The sequence below is a fragment of the Homo sapiens genome, chromosome 22 (genome assembly GCF_000001405.40).
Source record: "Homo sapiens chromosome 22, GRCh38.p14 Primary Assembly".
Classification (NCBI taxonomy): domain Eukaryota; kingdom Metazoa; phylum Chordata; class Mammalia; order Primates; family Hominidae; genus Homo; species Homo sapiens.
The window spans coordinates 27850153-27877032 of NC_000022.11; the positions used below are offsets into that span (position 1 = coordinate 27850153).

At 39.2% G+C, this 26880-nt stretch overlaps 1 protein-coding gene across 6 annotated transcripts in view, besides 2 other annotated features; it reads right to left on the reverse strand.

Annotated features, from left to right (window-relative positions):
* Positions 133–651: an enhancer, noted in NCBI's record as "OCT4-NANOG hESC enhancer chr22:28246273-28246791 (GRCh37/hg19 assembly coordinates)". NCBI's record gives its function as "activates a minimal SCP1, AML or CMV promoter by ChIP-STARR-seq in primed H9 embryonic stem cells {active_cell/tissue: H9 hESC(primed)}" and the evidence as "EXISTENCE:reporter gene assay evidence [ECO:0000049][PMID:30033119]".
* Positions 149–443: a silencer, noted in NCBI's record as "tiled region #2862; HepG2 Repressive DNase matched - State 6:EnhF". NCBI's record gives its function as "represses a minimal TATA promoter and a strong SV40 promoter by Sharpr-MPRA in HepG2 cells {active_cell/tissue: HepG2}" and the evidence as "EXISTENCE:reporter gene assay evidence [ECO:0000049][PMID:27701403]".
* PITPNB (phosphatidylinositol transfer protein beta) overlaps positions 1517–26880 on the reverse strand; it is a 67588-nt gene continuing 42224 nt past the window's right edge. For 3 of the 6 annotated variants that reach the window (NM_001284277.2, XM_011530052.3, XM_047441269.1), the window contains exons 8-11: positions 23586–23663; positions 9979–10089; positions 8235–8357; positions 1517–3511 (exon numbers count right to left, since the gene is read on the reverse strand). In NM_001284277.2, coding sequence (NP_001271206.1) covers positions 3461–3511; positions 8235–8357; positions 9979–10089; positions 23586–23663 — 363 coding nt within the window. In that variant the 3' untranslated portion in view covers positions 1517–3460. Of the gene's footprint in view, positions 3512–4701; positions 4788–8234; positions 8358–9978; positions 10090–23585; positions 23664–26880 lie in introns of those variants that run through there. The other 3 variants (NM_012399.5, NM_001284278.2, XM_017028707.2) reach the window with 2 other exon arrangements.

Here is a 26880-nt window from a genome sequence, read left to right on the forward strand (position 1 = left end):
GTTCCTGGGAAGCACTCCGGGTTGGCAGGAGATGCTCCAAGCTCAGCGGGACAACTTTTAACCTGTTCTCCAGCACTCCCTCTCCCTCCCAATCATGCAAAGTCCCAAATCCTAACATTGGCAGTAAGTCTAACTTGAAAACATTCCTTCTGTATCCACAGAACTCCACCTCGCAACATTCTATGGCTCTCACATGAGAGCTGAGGGTCTAAGAACAAAGAACATTCTCTTTCCAAATGAGCAAGAACAGGAAATCCCACACGGTGCCCTTGTCAACTAAGCTGCTGAGAGGTACAAAACAAATGTTAACAAATGTCTCTTATTTCCTGAGACAAGATTTGTGGAGGTTGGGCTGCAACACTTTTCAATTTAGCAAGCTGAAGAGGGGACAGAAAGTTAAACTTTAAAAGCCAGGTGTTAGGTCCACAAAGACAAAAGATCCAAGTGATTTTAGATCATTTAGGAGGCCATTTGGTAAATGAATGAAACAGGAGGGAAGAAATCACCCCCGCTGTGCTAAAGGATATAGTGTCTCAAGTGAAGCTGACCACCTTACAGCTGGGCATCATGGCCTCCAATTAGAGACAAAGAGTCCAAGAGTCAGCCAGGAACCAGGAGGGCCCTGGGTGTGCCTAACCCCGCACTGCCCAAGGACTGGCACCCTAGGCTTCTTGGGTCCCAGCTGCCAGGCTGCCTTGGTGACTTTTGCTTTCTCATCTATACAATGAGGATGGTGTCTAAGATCTCTCTCAACCAACTCTCTACTCTTTATCACACTGCCTTGTAATTTACCTGTCCACATGTCTGTCTCCCACACTGGAATGTACACTGCTTTCATCCATCTTGGCAGAGAGACCCGAGTGCCCGCTGTATCCACGCTCAGATGGCCAAGTGCATGAATGACAGTGTCGCCATAAACGCAAACACAATGTCTCAAACACAACACTAAGAAACTTACCTCAGAAAACAAACCACTAAGATATCCCAACATATAACATTATATATTAAATCCGACCATACAGCTGGCTACCTCTCCTTATGTTCAGCAGTTCTACAATATGAGCCAGAACCACAAGAATATGGTTGTGACACGCACAAAAAGAGCAGACTGGAAAGGACTAAATCCTAAAAGGAGAGGTGAAAGGTGACCACGCACCAAAAAGCCCTAATCTTCAAACAATCAGAAACAAACGGCAAAATCCTAAGTGCTTTACAAATACGATGGGTTTTCCCTGTTTTCCCCTTTAAAAATAAATCTGAAAACCACTGAGACTAATAATATATAATCCTTTAGTTTACTGCTTAGCTTTTAAAGACAGAAAATTACTTAAGAAATCAAACGTAACCACTTAGTGTGGCACAGGTACATTTCAAGAATAAGAATTTGCAATTAAAACAAAATAATTTTCCCAGACTGGTAGTGCTGCGAATTACAGAATTCATGAAAAACAGAGTAGTGGTCTGAGGTGTTTCAAACCAGACATGGCTCAGGGAAACAACCACTCAAGCACACAAGTGGCATTTTGTGATCAAATTTATTTTTTGTTTAAATTTCATTTACTTTGTTTTACTGTAATTTACACAAGAGACTGGCAAGTAAACTAGGTATTTTACATTCACCACACATTCCCTCAAATCTCCACAGTTGTTAGAAAAACATTAAAATCCATGCGCCGGGCTCTCATTTCCATGTGCGCCTAAGCTCCCAATGATACTACAGATGCCAGCGAGAGTTAAGTTCATTAAAAGGAGAGGGCTAGACTCTTTATTTCACAAAATTAGCAATAATCTTCCTCGCACCAAACACTTTGCAGACAATGATTATGCTCTGACAAAACCTATCTTACAACAGTGCCCAGAGAGTAAACATCAGTCTTTATCCTGAGTACACAAAGGATGTATGAAATGTGGGTTTTGTTGCTGAGGATAACAGGGTATTGCAATGCAGTAGTGATCCTACACATCCTTCCTTGTCTGATTCACTGAAATCACTCCAGTGGGGGAGGGATGCAGGACATGTGGGAAAACGAGGAGCAGGCAGGGCAGGACTGTCAGCAAATCAGATTACTAATGTGATTTGACTGCAGGGGTTGGCGTGTTTTAGGAGGGACAGGAGGTTACAAAAGACAGTTTGTGACCTGAAGGCTTCAACAATATAATTCTATTCAAGCTTCCAGGACTGACAGAGGAAAAACTGGATTCAGACAGAGAAAGCTGATAAAAATCTTACCTAGCTATTGTTCCTTCCTTTAAATAAAAAATAAAATTAAATTAAAAAAAGTGGCAGCCGTTTCTGACCAGCACTCTCATGATGCCTATTCAGAATCTGTCCTGATGACGTCCTACTTGAGAGCACATCCCACAGTCAGATGTCCACCAGTCTCTTGGCGGGGCCTCCTCACCGCACGCAGGCCAGACTCACACTGCATCTTAAACTGTTCCTATCTCAAAGTCACTATCTCCTCCTTGAAGTGTGTGTTCCCACAAGAAGAGCAAAATGTCATCACTAACTATATCCTATCATGTGAGCTCTGAGGAATCTAGACCATTTGCATAGTTTCCAAGCTGTAGTTACAGAAAACTGTCATCTTCAAAACAAGACTCCATGAAGTGCTATATTTCCAACTTTTCTACACAGCCTACAATCCTATTAAGACTAATTTCTTCATCAATGTGTTTGTCTAACAGGAGCCTGAAAACTGTCTAGTATTTATTATAAATCAGAAACCGTCATCTCCATTTTTGCTAGGTTTGATGTAGAAAAATATTTGAAATTTAAAATACAAAAATCCAATAAAAACCAGAAATTTTTTTTAAAAGGATTTTTCCCTCAGGGCAAACAAGTAAAAACTGGCCTGTAACTTTGCTCCTTACTTTATATTGTCAAATTTGGCTACAAGATAATGACCATCCAGAAATAAATAGTTATAAATACATTCAGAGTTTACATCCCAGATTCATTGGAACACCAAAAAATTTTGAAGAAATTTTCTGTGGGAGTCTACTGCTTATGGGACTAAAAAAAAATTTATAACAGACTGACTTAAAAGAAGAGAAAAATAATAAAAGGCTATATATGTTGGTCCACAGCTTGACATTTATGAAACATACCAGCTAGTATTACATTGCAGTCAATTTGTCCATTAATGGTATTACTCTGATAATTATTAAAATCTGTTCCAGGTATATATATTGAAAATATTTTCTTTTGCATTCTTGCTGAAGATAGGTACAGTACTTTGGAGAAATTGTACTAATCCCTTCAGTATGTCTGTATGTACATATATACACAAGTGTGTGTATCTGGATCTGTAGCTCTACATGCGCTTTATATACAGCTACAGACATATGCACACATACATATATACACACGTGGTTGAGAACCTGTGCATGTGTGTGTATCATCACAAGCACACATCTGGGAAACGTCAACACTGCAAGATACTGGTCAGATTCTTCTTCACTCATCACTGGCTGCGCTTGTTCCCCTCACTTGACCTTGATTACGTAACTGTAAGAAAAGTGAAAGACAGTGCAAAATGTGTTAAAATACAGAGACAGGAAATGTTAGCAGCTCGTCACACACACTCTCCAAATGCATCAAAACTTTTGGCAGAAAATGTACCCCAACTACTGCATCTTACAATTTTCATCTGTTCAAAAAGATTTTGGTCTTACTACTAATGCCACAATATATTGTCTCATCAGAGGGGAAAATAAAGTCGAGGCAGAAATAAATCACAAAAACTTAGGAGAGTTTAACAAAAGTAACAATAACTTAAATTTTTTTTTTTTTAATGAACATGGAATTTAAAAGTGTTTGGGGGGAATCTTGGAAGAGTTACTTCATTCTTATTTGGCACAACTAGCTTTTCTCACAACTGAACATTTCATTCATCCCAATGTTCAAAAATTAAAGAGCAGGTAGCTCATGTGGGGCAGCAAAGAACCACAGTGGAGGGAGGGGAGTGCTACATCTCGTTCTCTTTATAATAAACATTATAGTTCAGTATAAACAAATGATGACAGCACACTGTTGATTTTTGTTTACTCACACTGGTTTCAATTTGTGAGGGAGATTTTGATTTTTTTTTTTTTGCATCTCTGGGAAAATTTGTTATATGGGCATATAATGTGTTAGAGAAATAAGACCACAAAAATGGTTCACACCATAAATTAAAACTAAAGTGCATTTACGCAGAGTAAAGCTAACTGTAACAACTGAAGACGAAATATCAAGGAAGACTTTCTGGTGCACAGAAAATATTGCAGCCAAAATAAATTATTGAGGTTGGCTCGTATGGTATGGGATAGAGGATCTTTATTTGATCTCAAGTGATTTTGCATATTTCCTTACTAACCACAAATGGTTCTACAAAGAACCAGGTCAATTAACTCAGTATTGAAAAATCAGCTGGCTTCCAGGACAATGTGCTACATGATGAGTAACAGCACCTGGCAGCTGGGTTCTAACCCATAACACTAAAAACTAACCCAGGATTACTAAATTCAACCTGGTCCACAGGTAAAATTTTTAAAGACTATTAATAAGTGTTCACTATTAATTTCTAAAATATTTATCTTTTAAATTCTAAAAATAAAACCACATTTAACACTTAGAGCTTCTGCTCAGCAAGTTAACTGCCCATCACCAAAAAGGTACAGGTTTCGAAACATCTTTTTACCCAGGTCTTCACTTACACAGTTTGACATTGTCTCTGACCCTACAGGGGACTCATCTAGACATCAGCAGCCGACGTGCCTCGAACGGAACCCCTCTTACGCATCTAAACGTAAAATAAAATTGTGAGCTGCTGAAATCAGACTCTAAATAGGGGTTAGTAAGCAAGGGGAGAAAAAAGATCTAGAAGAGATTATGAAGTGATGTTCATAACCATATCCACATTAAGAATGAAGTTCTGTGGCCCCTCAAATAACCTTGGTTTGAAGACATTCTTGCAAAAGGCTTTTCTTAGCACAAAAAAGGTTTATCTATCCTTAACTGTAAAAAACAAAAGCCTGCAGACTGATAAAAAATTATCAAAAACAGCCAATGGGTAAACAAATTGTTTGCCAATATAATGTGAGAAAATACCCCAAGGGTCTGGTCCATATTTGCATAGTCCCTAGGCCAGACAAGCAAGCCATGAGGGTGTGGGCCACACCTCTTTGCTGCTTCTGAGAACAGGGTCTCTCAGTGGAGTCCTTTAAAGGAAGTTTACTGAAAGGAGGGAGAATGAAAGGGAGAAAAGGCAAGGAGGGAGAATGAAAGGGAGAAAAGGCAAGCACAGAAACAATGTATGGCAAACCATGAAGGGCACACAGATGTATTAGAAAGGACAGGCATTCATAACAATAGCCTCCAGACAAGTGACACCACTCAATGAGAAAACAAAAAACGAAATGAACAGAAAACAAACAAATGCAATAAATACGTTAAAACTCAACACATCCTCACCCCCACCCCGGAACCGGAGGTGCCAGTTAAGAACAAACAGGTAAAATGTTTACCTAAAGTCCTCCTTCAGCTGCTGAGCCTCAACTCCAGGGCAGTTCCCTGCAGATCATAGGCAGGGGCATTCCTCGTGTGCCTAACCTCTCAAGATGCTAGTTCTCTCCAGGGCCAAAACCCATTTGAAAGAAATCCAATTCTTAAAATATTTGTGAATTAAGAGCATTATAATGTCATTAAAATCTATCATCAGGTGTCAGGGGTCAGGACCTCAAGGAAAAAGAAATTTCTGCGTGTGAAGAGGACTCTAAAATGGGATGCCTCTTCAGGAGGCAGGTGCTTTCTGGGTAGGCATTCTTGGCCTGCAGGCTTGATGCTGCCCAGATTCTGAGGATGCTTTCACAAAGCCACCATTAGGACTCAAAGCAGCAGCATCTTGATTCTGTGTGTGGAACCAAGCACTCCCCAATGACCTACAGCAAAATAACTTAAATGGGATTCAACGTTAAGATGCACCACTTAATGGTGAAATTTGTCTTAAAATGTTTTTGAGATATTTGACAAAGCAACTGCTATGTACCCTCACTCTGAACCAATGATAGATTTTCCACCAGCTTTATGAGGGGGTTAATCAGTTTCAGCAATGTGGGTATAAGAATGGTGACACTAAGGAATTGGGCTTTTACTTGTCTATCTTACACCTTCTTCTCGAGTGCAATTCCCAACTCACAAATAACTGATCTGCATGGAGCAGCAGCTGCACCTGCAGGCCCACTGCCATAGGTGAGAGCAAGAGTCACCAGCTCCACAGCGGAGGGTCACAGCGTGTTGAGGCTGGGACCATTCTGTGTTCAGGTATCGTGAGGCTGAGGACTTGTTAGAGAAGCAAGAGCACTTCCCTGGGGGAAGAAATCTCAGTCAAGTTCTGTCCAAGGGGTCCAGAGATAGGTAGGGTTTAGAGTCCAAACCAGATAGGGCTTATCACCTGGTCAATGGTAACTACTCTTCCCCATGTGACACACAGTTCTTCAGCATAAAAATTAAAAACTGAGAGAAGGGCTCTTTCCCAAGGGTTTGAGCTGTTGGTAAATCCTTGTAGGAAATGCCAGTGCTGCATCATGGGCTTAGCGTGTTTGGGTGTCTCTTGCTGCTTCTGTTTCATGTTCAGTGGACACCCACCAGCTGCTTGGAAGAGCCAAAGGCAGAGCTGGCAGGTATTCCTGAAGCCTTGGGCACTTGGAGGGAGTGAAACCAGACAAGGCAAATGGGACTAAAACTGGATAGGGTAGCGAGGGCCAGGGGGGTGCTTGTTAGAGTCAGAGAAAGGCACCTGACTCTTGAAAAAGGGAACACAGAAGTGGGAGAGAGGCCTAGAAAGAAAGGTAGGAAGTGCCCATGATCTGCTCTTGCCTATTTAAGTGTTTTGCCTGTGGCTAGACTAAAAATAAGGAATGAGGGGGGTATCTTCCACTCTTGCCATCTCATCACCCTATTCCCTATATCCAGAACTCAGAGTCCTAATATTAGTATGAGAAATTGGGGTCAAAGAGGCATATTATGCTGGCTAGTCTAGAAACCAAACCCTAATTTATAACATTGTCTCTATGGGAAAATATGTTCCAAATTTCAAACAATCAACTTAAAATTTTTTGGAACAAAATCCATTCATAAGTTGGAGTCTGCCTATAGTTTACTTTATGTATAAGATAAGGTTAAAATATTTTATTGCCTTATAAAGAAAATATGTCCTAGTCCTCTCAGAAGGTTTATATAAAACTAATTAGAAGCAGATCTGCTGTAATCACCAAAAGTAAGCAATTTTAAACAGATTCTTTACGATGCTATGTGCCAGAAAAATAGGTTTCCTTTTGTGCCAAAGAATCTGATTTGCTGCCATTCTCCTGTGATTAAATGGAGTTTCTGCCTCACACGCAGGCGTCTGTCAAACGCTCACACCTGCAGGGCTTCCAAAACTGGACCTGCTGGCAGGACTCGAGATGACCACATGGAAACCACTAGCAGGCCCTGGACATTCCTTGGGTTTGTTTCACCCATGGGGCCTTACTGCCAACTGAAGACAAGCATGGCCCAGGGCAAAAACAAAACCAGACACATGCAAGAGGAAGCCAGGGAAGAATCCATCCCGAGGAGAGAGAAGACACCCACTGGCTGCCGGCCCTGCCCACTGGTGGTGGGGAGCAGCTGGGATGGGCTGTAACACTGAACTGTGGCATGCTGACCTCCTGCCCAAGGATCACCTGAATCTGCCCAAAGCTTAGGAAGAAATAAGGATCACTGCCAGTTGGGGGAAGCAGAGGAGGCATTTCCAGAATTAGTAACAATACCATTAGCCTTACCTTTTCTACAAAAAAAGCGAACTAGGACTTATCATGTTAACATTTGTTAAGCTTGCTGTGATACAAACTGAGCCAAAAGCAACTTAGTCTGACAAAGTGTCTAAAACGACTGTGAACCAGGAACCAGCCTACAGAACTAAAGCTAGTGTGTAAGAAAGAATACAGAACCATTAGATATTTAACAGGTAACCAATTCTAGACTGAGAAAACTCTAGTCTACCTTCACGCAAGATGCTCAACAAAAGAGAGATCAGAATATGTGAAGGAATAGCAGTGTCTAAGAAACTCCATTTTGATGAGAATAAGTAGAATAGGGAATGATTTTTAACAACACTCTTCCTAATTCTAACTCTGTATTTACCAAGCATGTATACAGTTTTAGAAAAGGGAAAATTAGAGAATTGCCATAGAACAGCCAGTCTTACTGTTTCTAGTTCTTTCTGAGTCTCGTCTTCCATTCTCCTAATGTCTTCCATCGTGAGATCGATCCACTTGTCAATCCAACAAAAAAGCTGGCGATGGAAGTTTGTAAATATCCGTTTTTCTTGCTTTTAAAACAACAACAAAAAAGTAGCATAAGATGACAAAAACCTAAGATTAATGACACATTAACTTTACATGTTCCAATTAACCCATGAAATTTACACATTTGGTTCAAAAAGACTACTCTGTAGATTTGTGGAAATCATAATTCCATTTAATTATCATTGTGTCCAGCAAAATTAAACAAACAAAAAAAAACTTTCCCTGTGAAATGAAAAATAATCTCCTAGGCAAAGGTGTCATGATCTAGTAGAAACTAAAAAAATGCGGTGTGTATGACCTAATCCAACACATTCCTGCTGGGCCTGATTTATTTTTACCTTTTTCTAAATGTCAATGAGCAAAGGTCAACTAGATTTCTTCTGCTATAAAACTATATATTGTCATTCTTAACATTCACTATGAGGTGGAATACAATAATGCATTGAAAGAAAAGAGTCCTGGGTTCTTTTATTAAATTAAGAATCATTACAAACTCTCCCTTAATTTTTCTACACAACATGTTGCTGCCACTATTATAAATATATTTAAAAACCATGTATATAATTAGCGGTTTCAATTGATGGATTATTTAAGTTTTATTCAGCTTTCCCAAGAAGAGAGAAAAGTGCATGGAACAGTAAGTACTTCTGGACAATATTCAACTTAAAAATCTTCTTCCATGAATAGAAAGGACTTTATCAATTACATATGTGACTTCTATTTATCAGAACTGGATTGTTAATCTATGATTATGATCCGAGAGGAAGGAAGAATGCCAATATTTACAGAATGCTGACTGTAAGCAGGCCCATGAATAATCAAAGTTTCCAGCACTTTGAGATCCTTGTCTTATAAAATACTACAGCAGCTATAGTTTAAAAATAGAAAAGTTATGATGAAACAGACATAACTAATTGTGGAGATCTGAGATATAATGAGGGCTTCTTTATAATAATAACAGAATAAATATTCGCCCTACAGGAAAAGTAAACACCAAGGAAATGTTTCAACATTCCTAGGTAGTAACAACCGTGTGCATTTATAAAATTCCAATTCTCCCCTCCTCCTAGATCTAACTGCCCATGTTACTTTCACTTTAATAAAGAAGACATAAAAAAGAAACAAGTAGAATCTGGATCCTCAGATTGTGTACCTTAGTTCACAGTGTGCCCATTTTTCAGTAAAGACCTCTAAAGAAGACATCCCCTGTGACAGCACAAGGCACACATACATATTCTGAGAGATATGGAGGGTAGGGGGAAGGGTCCAGCTGAGATGGGGCAGGGGAGTCCTTCAGCAGGCTGGGCCCGCTCTCTCCCTCCAGTCAGGATCAGAACACCAGGTCCTCTTGGGGACGTGCTGTATGGGGAAAGGGTTCTCTACAGAAGCGCTGGGCAAACCATAAGGTAAGCACTTTGAACAAAAAGCTGCTGTGCTTGTCTCCAAAGAAAGTCCCTTAAAACCTCTGCTGCCATCTGTCTTTGCTGCTTTGAGGTATAAAGAAGGGCTGAAATGAATTATGTAGGGACAATAATTTTCATATCATAAAGGAGGAAAAAAAGTAATAACAGAGAAGATATCCCATTAATAGCTAGCTCCGATCTCATCCTAAATCTAAGTCACCACATTTTGAGCAGATTTTACCTTTTGAATGAAGTTTTCTACTTTGCTTTGCAGTCCCCACCACTTGAATTTGATGGTCACCAGCTTATAGGCACACATCTGGGGACAGTCAGGGCTGTTTGCCAGCTCCTTCTAGATGAGAAAAATTGAAAAGGAGAAATTATGACTTAAATATTTATGTTTTCATTAAAATTGACTGTTGTATAACGACATCATAGACATACATGAAGAAAATTACAATCTCATGTGTTTAATTCAGATATTTGAAAATTTGAAATCATTTTAGCAAAAGCCGCAGTATTCCCCTGCTGTAAACCCTCCTTCCACAGACCAAGTTACTTCCTAGCTCTAAAGTTTAATAGGTATGTTGCTCTGCCTCAAATAACACTATTCAGATTTCATATTAAATACCAAATTCTATTCACATCAAACCAATAGTGTCTTTAATACATAAGGGTTCTCATAACACCATTACCGCACTCCCACTGTGGATGTGGTGAGGCACAATAAAAAATGACAAGGAAGTTCAGCCTTCTTCTGTATCTTCAGATATTGGCAAGTGGAGCTGCACTGTTTATTAACTGAGGTATTTTCAATAGAAGGGAGATATGAAAAGTGATGCAACAGCAAAAATAATCTGTAATTACCAAATATTTGGAGGTAAATCCTATACATACAGACTTCAATTTCCACAAATGACTACACCTCACAGTTTAAATAGTGTAGTCAGGAATCAAATCAAGACTTGTTCTGGTAAACAAGGGAAAATAAACTATTTTTTTAAAGAGCCAAGAGATGCTGGGTACACTGGCTCATGCCTGTAATCCCAGAGCTTTGGGAGGCTGAAGTGGGAGGATCACCTGAGGCCAGGAGTTGGAGACCAGCCTGGGTAAGATAGCAAGACCCCATTTCTGGAAAAAAAAAAAAAAAAAAAAAAAAGGCTGGGCACAGTGGCTCACACCTGTAATCCCAGCACTTTGGGAGGCCGAGGTGGGCAGATCACTTGAGGTCAGGAGTTCGAGACCAGCCTGGCCAACATGGTGAAATCCCGTCTCTACTAAAAAATTACAAAAATTTGCTGGGGGTGGTGGTGGGAGCCTGTAATCCCAGCTACTAGGGAGGCAGAGGTTGCAGTGAGCTGAGGTCACATCATTGCCCTCCAGCCTGGGCTACAGGGCAAGACTCCATCTCAAAAAATAATAATAATAAAGACATAAATAAACTGGGGTGGGAGGTGGGGCACTGCAACCTATGTTATTATTGATGATTTCTGTGAGTCTTACTAAGGCTTTGCCTTACTTAGTGAGTTCAATATACTAGCATGTTTATTTTCAGGAAGGAGTGAGTGGGTGTGAACCAGGAGCTTGCAGCATACATCAGTGACTTAAATATACAGGTCCACTTCCAAGGTGATGTGTGCAGAAGACCAAGATACTTCTGAGCTGACCCAGAAAAGCCTGGAACAGGTTCACAGCAGTGAGCAAACACAGGCATGGTCCTGTCCTCAGGGGCTCGGTCTACTACAGAAGGCACATATCAAAGCACCACAGACAGCAGAGGCAGACTGCAAGTATGGTCTGGGGAAAAGAGCCATTCTGTAAACTTGAAGCCCCAGTGTTGGTGTGCTTACAAGATGATTAAAAGAAAAAAAAGGGACATCATCTTAGGACTGTTGTGAGGTTGTGCGGACTGAGTAAGGCAGTGTAGTAGGTGCTTAGTAGGTGAGACTGAAGGGCTTAATACACATTAGTTCTCTCTTTCCCTTGTTCTTTAATAAACGTTGTATTGACCACTTTTGAATCTGCAAGACAGTTTTGAACAAATTGCCTCATAAGAGAAGAAAGTCACTGCAACACGACGGGGACCCCTTTTATAAAAACTAAATCACTGAGTCAAAGGCCAAAGCTGCCTCTCCCACGGGCTCTTCCCTCTTCACCACTGTCCCTGTCTTCACACGGTGGTGCCCAGACTTCACCACTGATCCAGTGATCAGTCCCACTGGGTGCTGCCACCACTGCTTGTCAGCTTCAACTTACCAGCTTCAACTCATCCCACTTTCAAAAAGCTGCGTGTGAGCAAAGATTCTCAAATCGGCCACATACATTCAAAAAATGATTAATTTCTAAGTCTTATTCTAAACCTCAAGATTATTTTTCCTTTATATGACTGAAGCACCAGACTACATTTTTCCCCATTATCTACCATGGCCCAGTTTTAAGTTAATTCTAGGGATATACTATATGAAAAATTATTATCTTGGTATTATTAATGCGACTGAATGTTCTATAGAGTCCTACATGATTGATCAACTTTTCTCAAGATATTTGTTCTGTAGTAACATTTCATCTTCTGAAGAATAACCTGATACATGGGCTACATCAACGAGGTAACACCAGTAAGCAGTTAAATAAAAATATTATAGTAAACTGTTCTCTTGCAGGTGAGCTCTGTTAACAAAATATCTTGGCTAGCTTAGCTCTATTTTTCCATGACGTTTCCCCCTTAAAACAGAGTACCAATGTGAAAATTCAGGATGTATGTGTATGTGTATATGTATACACACATACAAACCCATATTTTAGTAATATAATTCAGCAGGTATGAAGTGGGTACCATTTACCCTTTACTCTGTGCTAGGTGCTGTCAGGGGACATAAATGTAGCTAATAGAGAAGAGGATAATTATGTAAATAATGCTGCCCTTGGTGTCAATATTCTCACCCCGGAAACATCCTCCTGTTGTGGATGCTGGCTTGGGCTAAAATCAAATATTTACATACTACTCCCCTTGCTCTGCAGGCCCCTGGCACTTAAGCTGGGCTCCTGGATGCAGAAGCAGTCAACAAGCCTTCCATAAGACACAGCTAGCTTCTAAGTGCCCAGCTTTATTGAAATGACAACAAAGTTGGTCTTTCACAGATCATTTGATCAATAAACAATGAGCCAATGCTGAAGTACTTCCTAATCCAATGAATGTCACTGAAAATCCTCATATGCAATACAACTTGGGTATATGTAGAATATGGCACTTAATTGTGAGATATAGCTGCCAAACAGTAGCACTAGACTAGGAGTGCTACTTTGTTAAACTTCCTGTTTAACAAAGGTCAGGATCCTTAACCTCTCTCTGGGCCTCATTTCTCCCTCTGTAACAGGAAAACTAGACTCTATCAGGACTTTTCATTCTCCACTGAGGAAAAACTAAAAGCAGGGGTGAGCGAACTAAGGTCCTTGAGGGCCAGGATTGGTCTAGGGCTGTAGGTGGTAAACATTACATATCCTTGACATCCAATGACTTGTCCTAAAACTTCCTACAATTTTGTGTTTTATTCTGTAATATGCCTGGGCTTCAGGAAATATTCCCCTGCCTGTCACCCACCCATAGTGAATTTCCTCTATGACTGAGTACCCCACCAAACTGCTGATGAACTCTAAGATACTTTCCAGATTGAACATTAGAAGGTCCTATTAATTATGAGCTCCTGAAAGCTTTCTTTTACAACTTCAAATCATTGGACACTTTCTACTAAATGAAAATCTTGGGTGTACCTAGAACACTGATGCTTCAGAATTCTCCAGCAATTTTATAAAAACAGTGGGATGAAGCATGGTTCTAATTAAAGGAGTAAGCTAAATGTAATACAAATATGCCTACACTAAACTTGAGCTCCAAGAACAGAGTACACATACGTGACTTCAACAATCAACCAAGTTTATTTCTCACATTCTTTCTAGTGACTCTGGCAAGCAACTCAAATCAATTAATACTGGTAATTCATAAAGTGGCATTGTTCTATAAAATTCATTTTAGAAACTATAAGCCACGGGACAAAAAGGAACCAGTTCCCTAAGATATCTTTCCAGATCTAAAATGTATATTCAGTCCCAATCTGATTTTTGTTTTCCATCCAATTTACAAGTAATTATTTTTTTAAAAACCCTTCAGAGAAGAACACGTACCCAACTAAAAAACAAACAACTAAACAGCCTGCTGCCTAAAAACATAAACATTACCAGAAGAAAGTTGAGAACACACAAGCTATATACATTTTTTTCAATCATTATTATTATTAATGTATACATGATATCTAAAAGTTCTCATACAATTCTCAAAATGATTTGTGGGAGTCATCTGTTAAATGTGAGCTACAGTTATTTAAAGTACTGATTAAGTTAAGAATATGGCTTTGAAAGTCTCCATACTTATGATGGCACAGAAAATAGTGAAAATGTCTGAATGTCGTACATTAACCTAAAAGAATCCTTTTGGTATCTTCTCTCTGGAGTGAAATCTGACACTAGGTAATAAAAAGTCTTAAAAGCTGTTCATATCCTACCCTGTACCCTGTAACCTGGTAATTCCACTTTTAGAAACATATCCTATTAATCAAGTAAAGAAATGATACCACAGATTTATCTGTTAACAGCAAAAATCTGGACTTATTAATTATTAACTGAAATACCCACTACAGGAGACAGGTGAAATACTTCATAGGCCTTCCATACGATGGGCTATTATGCATACAGCCATTAAAAAACATTTTTTTCCAGCGGTACAGTGGTTCACACCTGTAAACCCAGTACTTTGGGAGGCCGAGGCAGGTGGATCACCTGATGTCAGGAGTTCTAAATCAGCCTGGCCAACATGGTGAAACCCCGTCTCTACTAAAGATACAAAAATTAGCTGGTCATGGTGGCGGGTGCCTATAATCCCAGTTACTTGGAAGGCTGAGGCATGAGAATTGTTTGCACCCAGGAGGCAGAGGTTGCAGTGAGCTGAGTTCGTGCCATTGCACTCCAGCCTGGGCAACAACAGCAAAACTCAAAAAAAAACTCTCAAAAAAAAGAAAAAAAAAGAAAAAAATTCAAATAACAGTTAACAATGTGGGAGAAAAAAAGGAGAATTAATATAAATAGGTATCTATGTATGGTACAAACATTCCTAACAAAATAAACTACAGGAATCAGAAAATATACCAAATAATAGTAATTAAATGAGACTACAACTAATTTTTTTCTTTTGTGTACAATTATTTTCAAAGTTATCATTTAAAAATTTAAAAAAACCTAATACACTGAAAAACAAATTGACTCTAAAGAAGTTTTTTTGCCCTCAGCAGAGTATTTTCGGACAAAGACCAACTTTACCCTAAATTATCTGGGTACTATTTCAAGTCTTCATTCTTCTTTCACTATAAACAATCTGGCTTTTGGCTTCTTTTTTCTGATGTTTAATAAATTAAATCTAAACAAAGCTAAACAAAATCAAGTTAAAAGCTGAATTAAGATCTTTAATACGTAACTTTAGTCCATCCCATATTTAATTTTTCTTGAAAGCAATCACAAGGTATACATGCAAAATAAAATGATCAACTCTTCTAGGTTATCAGCAACATGCTAGTGAAGAAATGTGTAACCTTTAAAATGTGAAAAATCTCAATGGGGCAAATATTTGGGACCCCACTCTCAGAGCAATGTTCTAGAATCCACAGGACCCAAAGAAGTTCCAGCGTCTCTGCCTAGCTCTCAAGAGGTTCACAGCCTGTGGCAAGGCAAAGCTTCCTCTCTGGCTTTAAAAAAATACAAATGTTGCGCGGAGGGTGAAAGGAAGGAGAGGAACAAAAAAGATAACTATTGGGTATGGGCAGGGGAGGGGCGGGCGGTGAGAAATACTATGTACAACAAATCCCCGTGACATGTGTTTACCTACATAACAAACCTTCACATGTACCCCCAAACCTAAAATAAAAGTTTTAAAAAAATGTTTTCTGATTCTTTCTTCTTCATTGGCTAAAAAACAACCCCAAAGCAAATAAAACCAAAATCTGAATTAAGATCTTTGACACATAACTCCAATCCAGCCCAAACCTAACATTTTCCTCCTCTAAGGCAAAACAGTTAACTCTTTGCTAATCTGCGAGTAAATAAAATGATTTTGCTAATAAATTGAGTTTTACATAAAGCATGAAAATTTAAAAGGACAACTTAAAAAGGTAAAGAATGGTTGATTACAAAGAGAACAATCAAAAGTTCTACAAGATGAACGTCATGGGCTAACAAGAACCTCAAATTATGACTCATTGCTACGTAATTTAAATTTCATCTGTAATACAGTAAGCACTAGTTGTGAAATGTTTCCAAAATTGTATTTAAATAGTTTGTATATTCACTGAATTCCTTACATTTCATGTTTCTAACTGTAAATGAAACTCCCAAGCCTGAGTCATGTTTTTAATTTAACAACACATATTAGGTTACTCTAAGGTATGTGGATGAGGTCTTAGGGGGAGTAATGTATACTAGAGGCACACAATGTAACTAAACAAAACACAGTGTGTTTAACTGGAGGAGTGAGCAATCAGTACATGTTATCCACAAGAACTAGTTTCTCGAATCTGTGACAAACAAATATAAACAAACGTAAAAGAGATTTAACATTTTTTAAAAAGAATCCAAAGGCATTCTGGAAATGTATTTTCTAAAAATACAGTCCCTTCAGTTTCATGAGACTTGTCAAGTTTACACATACTTTTTCCTATTTAAAACTGTGTTGGGATGAAGATGGAATAGGTATGTGCTACACTGAACCAGAGTTAACGCTTTGCAAAGACACAGCAGTTTCTGTAAGGCTCATAACTGTCTTCATATTTTCATTTTTCAATTTTAGGCAATGTGAATGCTTAATTTCAGCTGCTGATTCTGTGATGTTAAGTTTCCAACCCAGATTTCACCAAGAAAGTTAAAAATAAATGCACTGCTGGGAGTGCTGCCAGTGTGTGTGCATCAGTAAATATCAACACAAGATTACGAAATATATGTGACGTCTATGTACTGAAATTTCAAGCAGAACCCCATTCCCCAACTCAGCTATTCTCTCTATTTAGGTAACCTAAACTTTATTTAGGTAACCATTTATTTTAGTAGCCATTTGGACAGACCTAAATTGGACATTATATTTCTGTAAATACATGGGAAGTCCAATATTTGATTTTTATTTGGTTTAAGGTAGTTAACTTGAATCTAGCAAATACTTACAAGCCCCTACTATGAGCAAACCTCCCTGCTTGGCACTGACCCATATCAAGGTAAGTCAGACACAAAGCCTACCGTTTAAAATTCAGTGTGAACAACAGGAGATGGAGGAGGTGGGGGGAAGGAAGACAGGGGGAATACATAAACCACCACCCTGACCCAAGACACACTGGGAGCCATGAGAAGGTCATCGGCAAGACTCTAGTGGCATTCAAAGGTGGGGAAGTCCCATCTGGTGGGGTAAATGGAAAATATTAAATGGAAGAAGTAAACATGAGATTAAATGTGAGTTTAAAAAGACTGAACTAATTGTAGGTTAATCTAATTTCACAAAAAGGCGAAATAAGATCCAGACAGGAAAGCTTACTGCCTGTGAGAGGATAATCAGTCACATTTTCCATGTTCCTCCAAACTTAATTTTTTGTATGGCTCACACCCATTTTACTAAAGAGGACTATGTTAAATGCTTCATGCTTGTGGGTGATTACTCCAGGAGTGACACTATTTTCAAGTAAAACCCCAAGTTCACCTTCAAATGAAACTCATGAAGAAAACTTTGTTTCTGGAAGTGTCTGGAAGAATCTGCAAGAAGCTCACACTGCCAAATTACTTCTTGAACCTGAATAAGACATTCATTCGTCTGTGCCTGAATCCTTCAACTCTGTCTGAGAACAGAGACATTCCATAGCCAAGATAAGGTTAGAATTAATCAGTTTCACTCTTTGGGCACTTAGCTTCTTAAAGACATGGAACAGCTTTTTTTTGGTATCTTCTGTAGGAGTTAATATAATTAGTACATACTATGTGCTATATATTTATTTTAAAAATCAAATAAAAAATGTAGTCATCAAACTAGATATTAAAAAAAAATCAGCCATGCTTGAAGGTCTGCTTTATTATACATAATCCAAAATGTGGTCTAACCAGAAACTAATTACTAAGCCTCTTTATGCCACCCACTATGGGGTTTCAAATGTGAGATTACAGGGAGGGAACATGTTTTCAAATGCTTCGTATCCTCCCTGGACCTCACAGACAAGTCGAGGCTAAGAAACAAGAGAGCACCTCCCAGTGTTTCTACTAGGGCGGCTAACAAGTAAAAAACACTGCTCATAAGCCACTTGAGTCTCTGGGTGGCTTTCCTGCCACTCTCTATCTCAAAAGAGATTTCCACACCTGAATTTCAACTTCTCCCTCATCACTCACTTCTACTCCTCCTATCCCTGGCCAAAAAAATTTTGCAGTTTCATTATCTTAGGTCACTGACACCAAGGGTACCAACATCTTTTCACAGACATGGGGTAGACAAAGAAAGAAATCTTGGTAGCATGGCAGTAAACAAATTAACATCTCTATAATGCAGAAATATGGTTTCCCTCCACTGGCATGAAGGATCCAGAATGGCCTCTACGGCTGTTCTAGAATGAGTCTAAAGCTGACTGAGCAGCTAAACAGTATGAAAAACTGAAAGGCCAAGCTCGGACTGCTGGAGCATTTGCTCAGGCTAGAGTTAACACAGAAGACAAATGGGGCATGCCTTTATGATGAGAAAGAACATGTACATAAAGATAATTTAAAAACCACCATAATTTCTGGATCAACTTATTTATTTGACCTGATCCCCTTATATATTCCAAAGTTCAGAGCTCTGGCTGAGACTTCCGAGACACATCAAGCCCTATAAGGAAGAGACGCTTTGACAAAGCCTCTTACAAAGACCTTTAGAGGCCTAATTATTAACTATCATGTATTTGTAGACACAGAAGCTTAAATCTTCAAGAGGTGTCTGGCTTAAATGAAGGAAGAAATGAGGCCTTGCCATGGGATAAAAATGAAACCATAATCGTCAAAGGTAGTGTTTCAATCTGTTAAAATAACAATTCCTCACCCAAATCAGGAAGGGAAACTGAAAAGCTAAAAACAAATGGAAACAGGTACACACACACACACACACAAACACACGTGCACACAGTGCTATAGAGAAACAAGACATTAACATCCATCAGAAATGCACAATTCTGCCTTGAAGCAAAAATCTTAATCAGGTTATAAATCGCTTTCCTATTACTATGCACACAGTCACTTCATCAAGTGCCGAACCCTAAGTAACAAAAATATAATTTCTGCACTCAGATTTTAAAAATTCTTTCTTCAGAGGGAAAATAAATATACAACTGAGGCCTGCATCTCTGGGTTTGTAGTTTTTTAAAAATAAAAGATATGTATCACATCATAGGCTAAAAAAATTGTCTGTACTCTTAACAAATGTGGAAAATATGAAAATATATTCCTTAGCAACCTCATCATCCCCTGCTAGTGAATCCTCTCTAAACTGTGTGGCTCTCTGCTTTATGCATGACCAAATAAAATCACTCATTAAACATATATAACCACGAGGGGTAAAGACACGTGAACCCGGATGTGTTTAACAATCCCTAGATACCAGAATGAGGGGAACACATTCTAGAATGAGGGGAACTCTGAATACTAGACAGATAAGAATTACGCATCATAAATACAGGGGCACATTTATAGATCTCAGCAACCCCAAGAGACGAAAGACAAAAGCATTATAACAATAACGGTTAACATTGATTGTGCACTTCTTCTGTGCTGGGAACTTAACATTATTTCACTCAGTCTTTACAACTACCTTCTGAGGTAGTTACTAAAATCATTTCCATTTTGGAGATGTGGAAATCAAGGCTCAGAGTGAGGGTTAAGTTATAACTTGTGTAGATTCCCAGTGGCTTTTTAATGGATCTCCCTTAGTGCCTCCGACACTTACAGATTCCCTGACCATTGAAAACGTACCACTAGTGTAACAGAAATTATCAAATTCTGGCAAATACCATGAATAGGGCATCACACAATTGCCAATGATGCAACAGGGCATAAAAGGTACAGAACGGTGATCTAGGAGTCACTGGATTAAGAGTTAAAATCTGCTACATCTCCATACCTTACACACTGCTGTAACTACCACCGAATCAGGTGTTCCAGAAATGGCAGACATTCTGCTGTTTCTCCTACAACTATTACATGTGTTTCTCTGCCCAAGTTTCTCAACTATATAAAATAAAGCAGCTGAACTTACACCACAGGAAGGTTGTAAAGATTAAATGTAACCTTGTATAGTACCTGGTACCAAGGAAAAGTTTCTTTACCCCTAGTCAGTCTGGTGCAGACAGGAAGTAAATACTGCAATAATTCAGAGGGAAAATACCACCATCAGACAAGTAAGGAAAAGTTTCAAAGAAATCATAGGATTTGCATTTAGCTTTGAATAGACTTTGGAATCTGTACTGGTAAGGCAGGTTTCTGCTGAAGGGTATGTGTGGGATGGTTCACAGAGGCCTTTTGAGAGAGAGACTGTGGAACTACCAGGCAGCTCTTCTATAAGAACATTCTTCAACACTACCCTGGTTAAGTGGGTCCACAATAAGATTTCTTCTTCCTTTCAGCCATAATTATCATGTTTGTTCCCTATTTCTTCCTTGCATTTCAGAAGTATAAAAATTTCCAACTATTATCGTTCCCCAGTGCTACCCTCAGTGCCTCCACCAGGACAGTAATTGGCAAAGAGGGCCTGCTGAACATGTTTACAGAAGACACTGGTAAGATCAAGTCCAAAGGTTCCTATTTTCCTGTATGCCATATTATCAGCTATCTTCTTACGCTTTATTTCCCTCCACAGCAGCAAGTGGATGGCTTAATTATTATCAGTTATTCTTGACTGCACTAGTTATTTCTGAGATCACAGTAATTCACAGAAATTCAGTCAGGCAGTAGCTGAATTTATAAGAGTAGCTGGATACACCATCATCTGGATAAAATGAACAATCAACAGGCAAATGGGCAGAAACAACCAGCACCCTATCAGCCTAATAAGTTACTGTTTAACACAGGGGGGAAAATGGAAAAAAACTGCAGTTCTGCAATCTGCAGAAATACAAAATTCACATTATTTCTAAGAACTAAACCTATTCTAGAATTTCAATCATTAGTCAATAATAAAAGACAAAGCAATATCAGTTACAAATCAGGCCAGACATGGTATATATTCCAAGTTCCTAAAAAGTTAGAAATCAGTACAAGTCATAGTATCAAACTACTTTTGCTGCCTGTTATAAAATCAGGAGTTCCTATAGGAAGGATCTGAGCCCAAACATAAAGCCCACCACATAATGTAGCATTGTCTTTTAATGTTTATACTTGAAAAGCTAATAATTTCAAGAAAATACAATATTTAATTCACCTCTGGGTCTCAACCTCATGCCCCTTTACTCCCTGTAAAAGTATTGTCAGCTAGAGCTACTACTCACTGGAACAAGATGTACTTTTTTAGAAGTTACAGCACCAGTGGAGGTAGCCACCATCTGGGCTGCTCTCTGGCATGGTGTCCTTGTTTAGAAGACCAGTGTGAAATCTCAAAGGGCTTCTCCTCCAACTAAGATTGAGTTCTAAAGTCTGAAGCTAGAAATCTGGAAAAGGCTGGGGACACTAAATCCATTAAAGCAAATTTACATCAAGCAGGCTGAATTTGTTAATTTATAAGTGGTATATATCACTTTCTGGGTAATATAGATTGGGAATTTGTCCCTGCTCAAATCTCATGCTGAAATGTAATCCCCAATGTTGAAATGCAATCCCTAATGTTAGAGGTAAAGCCTCTAACAGGTGTTTGCATCATGACTGCAGATCCTTCATGAATAGCTTGGGCCATCCCCTTGGTGATAAGTGAGCTCTCACTCTGAGTTCACACGAGATCTGGCTGTATAAAAGTGCATGGCACACTTCCCCTGCCCCACTTCCACCATGTGAGACGCCTGCTTCTCCTTTGCCTACCATGACTGTAAGCTTTCTGAAGCCTCCCCAAAAGCAGATACCAGCACTATGCTTCCTATACAGTGTGCAGAACCGTGAGCCAATTAAGCCTGGTTTTTTTTTTTTTTTTTTTTTTTTTTTTTTGGGACGGAGTCTCACTCTGTCGCCCAGGTTGGAGTGCAATGGTGCAATCTTAGCTCACTGCAACCTCTACCTCCCGGGTTCAAGTGATTCTCCTGCCTCAGCCTCCTGAGTAGCTGGGATTACACGCAAGCACCATCGTGCCCAGCTAATTTTTGGATTTTTAGTAGAGATGGGGTTTCAACATGTTGCCCAGGCTGGTATTGAACTCCTGACCTCAAGTGATCCACCCACCTCAGCCTCCCAAAGTACTGGGATTACAGGCGTGAGCCACTGCACCTGGCCCAAGCCTCTTTATATATAATACCCATTCTCAGGTTCTTTGTAATAATGCAAGATTGGCCTAACATGCTAAGTATTAAAACTGGGAGAATTCTGAACTAAACTCTACCCAGAGAACAAATGTGAAAATAATATAGTTATGAATCATTTCTTATAAACCAAAGTCAAATTCATTTTTCCTTTTAGTTGATGCACAAGACAGTCCACAAAACAGTCTAACACCCAGGGAGAACCACTCAATGAGTTCTCTGTGGGGCTGTAACAGTAATCCTCTTATCTGCATGCAACTAGTACCTAGACATCACTTATCGATGACCTGTAACTGGCTTCAGCACAGACAGACTGGTTACCAAGTAAGACCCTGGGAGTGGAAAATCTGCTCTGGGCATGTTTAAGTTTTTATGCTCTTCTCTTGTCAAATTAGCTGTAGTAACTTGCCAATAACACATTAAGACTTCTTTAAGGATCTGTCATTTAGTTTAGTAGATGTCTTTAAAATGCATTATATTTCTATAGCAATTTAAATTATTACCTTGACATTACCTTACTTCCATGAATAAAGTAAGGGTGTGCACTTTATTTAAAAACAACTACTGGCTGGGCGCAGTGGCTCATGCCTGTAATCCCAACACTTTGGGAGGCCAGGGCGGGTGGATCACCTGAGGTCGGGAGTTCGAGACCAGCCTGACCAACATGGAGAAACCCCGTCTCCACTAAAAATACAAAATTAGCCAGGCATGGTGGCGCATGCCTGTAATCCCAGTTACCCGGGAGGCTGAGGCAGGACAATCACTTCAACCCAGGAGGCAGAGGCTGCAGTGAGCCCAGATTGCACCACTGCACCCCAGCCTGGGCAACAAGAGTGAAACTCTGTCTCAAAAACAAAACAAAAACAAAAACTGCTTGCCACAAAAATTGCTCACTCGTGTCCTGCTTTCCAAAAATATAACTATTAAAAGTCCAGGAATATGAGCTTGGGTGAAGGGAGCTTGTTCAGTTTTTAATAAGACTAAATTTAAACTATAAACCTTCATTTAAAATGGATTTTTATACTGCTTCAGGTCTCAAAAGAGAACATTAGAATCCCCAAAGACTAAATCACTTGTCTCTTTTAAGAGTTATTGGAGCTGCATTATGCTGAAAGTGACAGTCTGGCTCTGTTCTGTTTGTTAATGCAGCACAGATTTGCTGGCCAACTGCAACTGGCTGTAAGTCCTTATCGCAAATAAAACTATTTTTGTGCCATTTCTATTTTTCACTTAAACGTCACCAGCTCTTCAAGACTCAGGACCTGTCAAGTGTTCTGTTGCCAAGACTCTGCCTGTCAGAAAGGTCAGCATCCAGTACCTTCCAGTTGGGTCCCAAAGGGCCTCTCTTGGTCTTGACTGACTGGAATAATGCTGGGTCTTCATCAGCTTTGTAGTCCTGCAAAGCAAAACAAAGTCAGAGGCAGAGAAGAAAACCAGAGAATATTCTTTAACCGTGCCAGAATAGCTCTTCGCAGCTACCAAAACACAGGACAGAAATCAATTAGACTCACTGTGCTTTTGCGTAAAAGTAGAAAAATGCTTCTTTAAGACACTGTTTTCAGTTTGGTTTCCTTTGCTTTAAACTTTTACCTTGGGCTAAATAACTACATAATAAGAAATAATAAAAGTCCTGGACTAGCAATCCATTCTGACTGGTTACTGGACAGCTGTCTCCAATAACAAATCTTTCAACAGTTTTTTAAATAATTTAAGCATTTTGATATATGGATAATCACATTCAAAGAATAAAACATACCCATCCCAGTTTTGACACTACAGGTAGATGATGACACTGGACTGTTAATGCTGGCCAGAGCAACTACTGTGGCTGGGAACAAAATCAGAACTATCGATTCTGCAGCACCCCCAACCTCTTCCTACAGCTGGGTCTGTGGTGGACATCTCAGTTTCTTGACTGGCTTCTCCAAACCCTTGTTCGAGAGCCCTGGGATACACATGGCTTGTCTTCCTCATAGAAGGACTGCACTCACGTCATCCCCTCACTGTCAAAGGAGGCGAAGGAGGGGTGTCACGGGACTGCCTCAGTTATATACCACAGGGGAAAGGCTCTAAAATGAAGGTTTTATTCAGGGTTCTAGTGTGTGTAAATTCTGTTTCCCTTAGTATATCTTTTTCCTGACAGAACGGAGGAAATGAAAAAAGAAAATCTTTTAAAATCTATCTGCTTTACAAAAGTTCTCTTGTCATTACACAAACACACACTCTCTCTCTCTCCAGAAAAAAAGATAAAATTACTTTTGAAGAGCTAGAGCCCAGATTAATAACAATAAGAGAGACTTGCAACAATAACTTGACCGTGGTCGGTTGGTCAGTTTAAAACACTGCAAAGAAAGAGACAGCAGGGAGAGTCCTTTCCTTCTTGAGCAGACTTTCTGACTCTGGGGTCCTTCACAGAATTCGTGAAGAGACCCCATACTTAGTGAAAAATGCCCAGATGAGTCAGATATGAAACCTTAACTAAAAATCACTGTTCTAGAGATAAGGGCAGTATGAGCAAAAGCAAGAACTGAACATGCTCCACAGTATAATACGAACTTTCCACAAATCAAACAACAACAACAACAACAAAACACGTTGAGAAGCAGCCACTCAAAACTCAACAGTTACTCAGTAAGTGCATATGCCATGTTAGTAATTCCTAAAGAGAAAGTTACAAATTATGTGAGGAAGGAAAAATGTTCAGTTCAGAGAGAAAACAAAACTTTAAAGAAAGATAAGTCTGTAAATATGTGACCCAGAACTTGAAGCCTCTCTAAAGGTTGTCTACAAAAAGGACCAACAATAAGCTCAAAGTATTAAACAGCAAATAGGTCTGGCTATACTGGGTCTTAATGCTTTACAATATGCAATGTGGCATAGCCACAGGCATCAGCATTACCCAGGAACGACAAACTGGGATGGACAGTCTGCAAGGAGCTGGACAACTGGACTTACTTCCTATGTCTGGGCAAAGCAGCAGAAAGATCAGTTACTGTCAGCAAGTGTGAATTCTTAAACTACAATTTTGAACTGCATCCTAAAAATGAATAACTCCACTTCTGATTGACAAAAGAATCAACTGTGTGTACAGGTGGTTTCAAGACCTGGATTCACAATGAGAAATAAGCTACTCTATTAACATAAATAAACCTGTAACACCATAAAACATTTTCTTCTGGTCAGAGGCTTGGAATTAAAACCTAAAAGCAAGCTCATTTTCTTTTTCAAACATTGAAAGTATTTAACATTGTATCAAATAATCACTTTCAGCATCATTTCCCTCAATCAAAATCTAGTTATTGAACAGCCACCATATAGAAGGTAGCACACCAGACGTTATTAGTAAGAGGTAATTCAAGGAAACAGATAAAGTAAAAGAGAACTAACACAGTTCTGGCTCCTAAAGAATCAGTCTAGTTGGGATAAAGAAAGAAGCAAGCAAAGAACAGGTAACTCAAACCCCAGGAAGTACCTGTTAACTGCCAACAGAGAATGGAGACAATTACTGTCAGAATCAAAACCAAACAAAAGCAGCAAAGGAAACACACTTTTAAAATGAATTTTAAAATCATGTTTAACAGGAGAAAAATGTGAACTATGGATTCACAGAATCATAGAAGTAAAGTGAACCTTAAAGACCACCCAAGCTCCTTCATTTGACAGATGCTAAAACCACAGTCTGACGAGGAAGTGGTAGGGCTCACCTACCCCAGCACTTCAACTCAATCCTCCTTAGCCTCAGTCCTGGGCACATTCTGGTACACCTCACAGGATGATGGCAAAAGGTGTCAACAAATGCCAGACAATCAAACCACATTTCAAAAATACCAAGAAGCCGCAGCACTAGAGATATCAAAGTGGATTTTCCTATGAAGTACAACTGTGTGTATGTAAAATATCATACACATATACATATGTATGTATGAAATGAAGTCTTCCCCTCTCTGCTTTTTCTCCTCTTGAATACAAAGCAGAAAATATTAAAGATATTATATTGAAAACGTAACAAAACCCAATTATTAACAATAGCACTTTAACCTTGAAAGATGAGAATAATGAATCTTGTCAAGACCCAGGAATTTCTGTTTTACGTTAGTTTGAATATGAAGAATACGTAAATGTTTAATCAGCTGAATTAAGTTGCAAGATATTAAGAAGCAGGAAGTAGCTTTTTAACAACCTCAGTTTTGTATTTCCACAACAAACACCTAATTTTTTGAACAGTATTTTCTTTGCTACATTTTCACTATTGGGTATCTAGTTTGGTCTTGCTGTATCTGAAAACTGGCCAATTTATATCCGTATCACAATGAACAAATATATTCCTTCATGTATGACAGTTTCAGCATACAGAATGCAACCTCAGCTACCAATTATAGCTGCAAATGAGCAATAGTGTGGAATGAGACAGCCTGCTGGCTTTGTTAGTATTCTGTCTCCTTTGGGATCCCATGGGGAAAGGGGAGGCTCTGATGAAGAGAAGCCCTTGGCTCATGGTTTATTGTGCTTGCCACCAGCTGCAGACTTCTCATCTCATTAGTTCTTTTAGAATACTGTGGGTGAAGACAGCTGTAGCCTACTTGAGTCTTCAGCTCCTGGGTATTCTGAAGGCT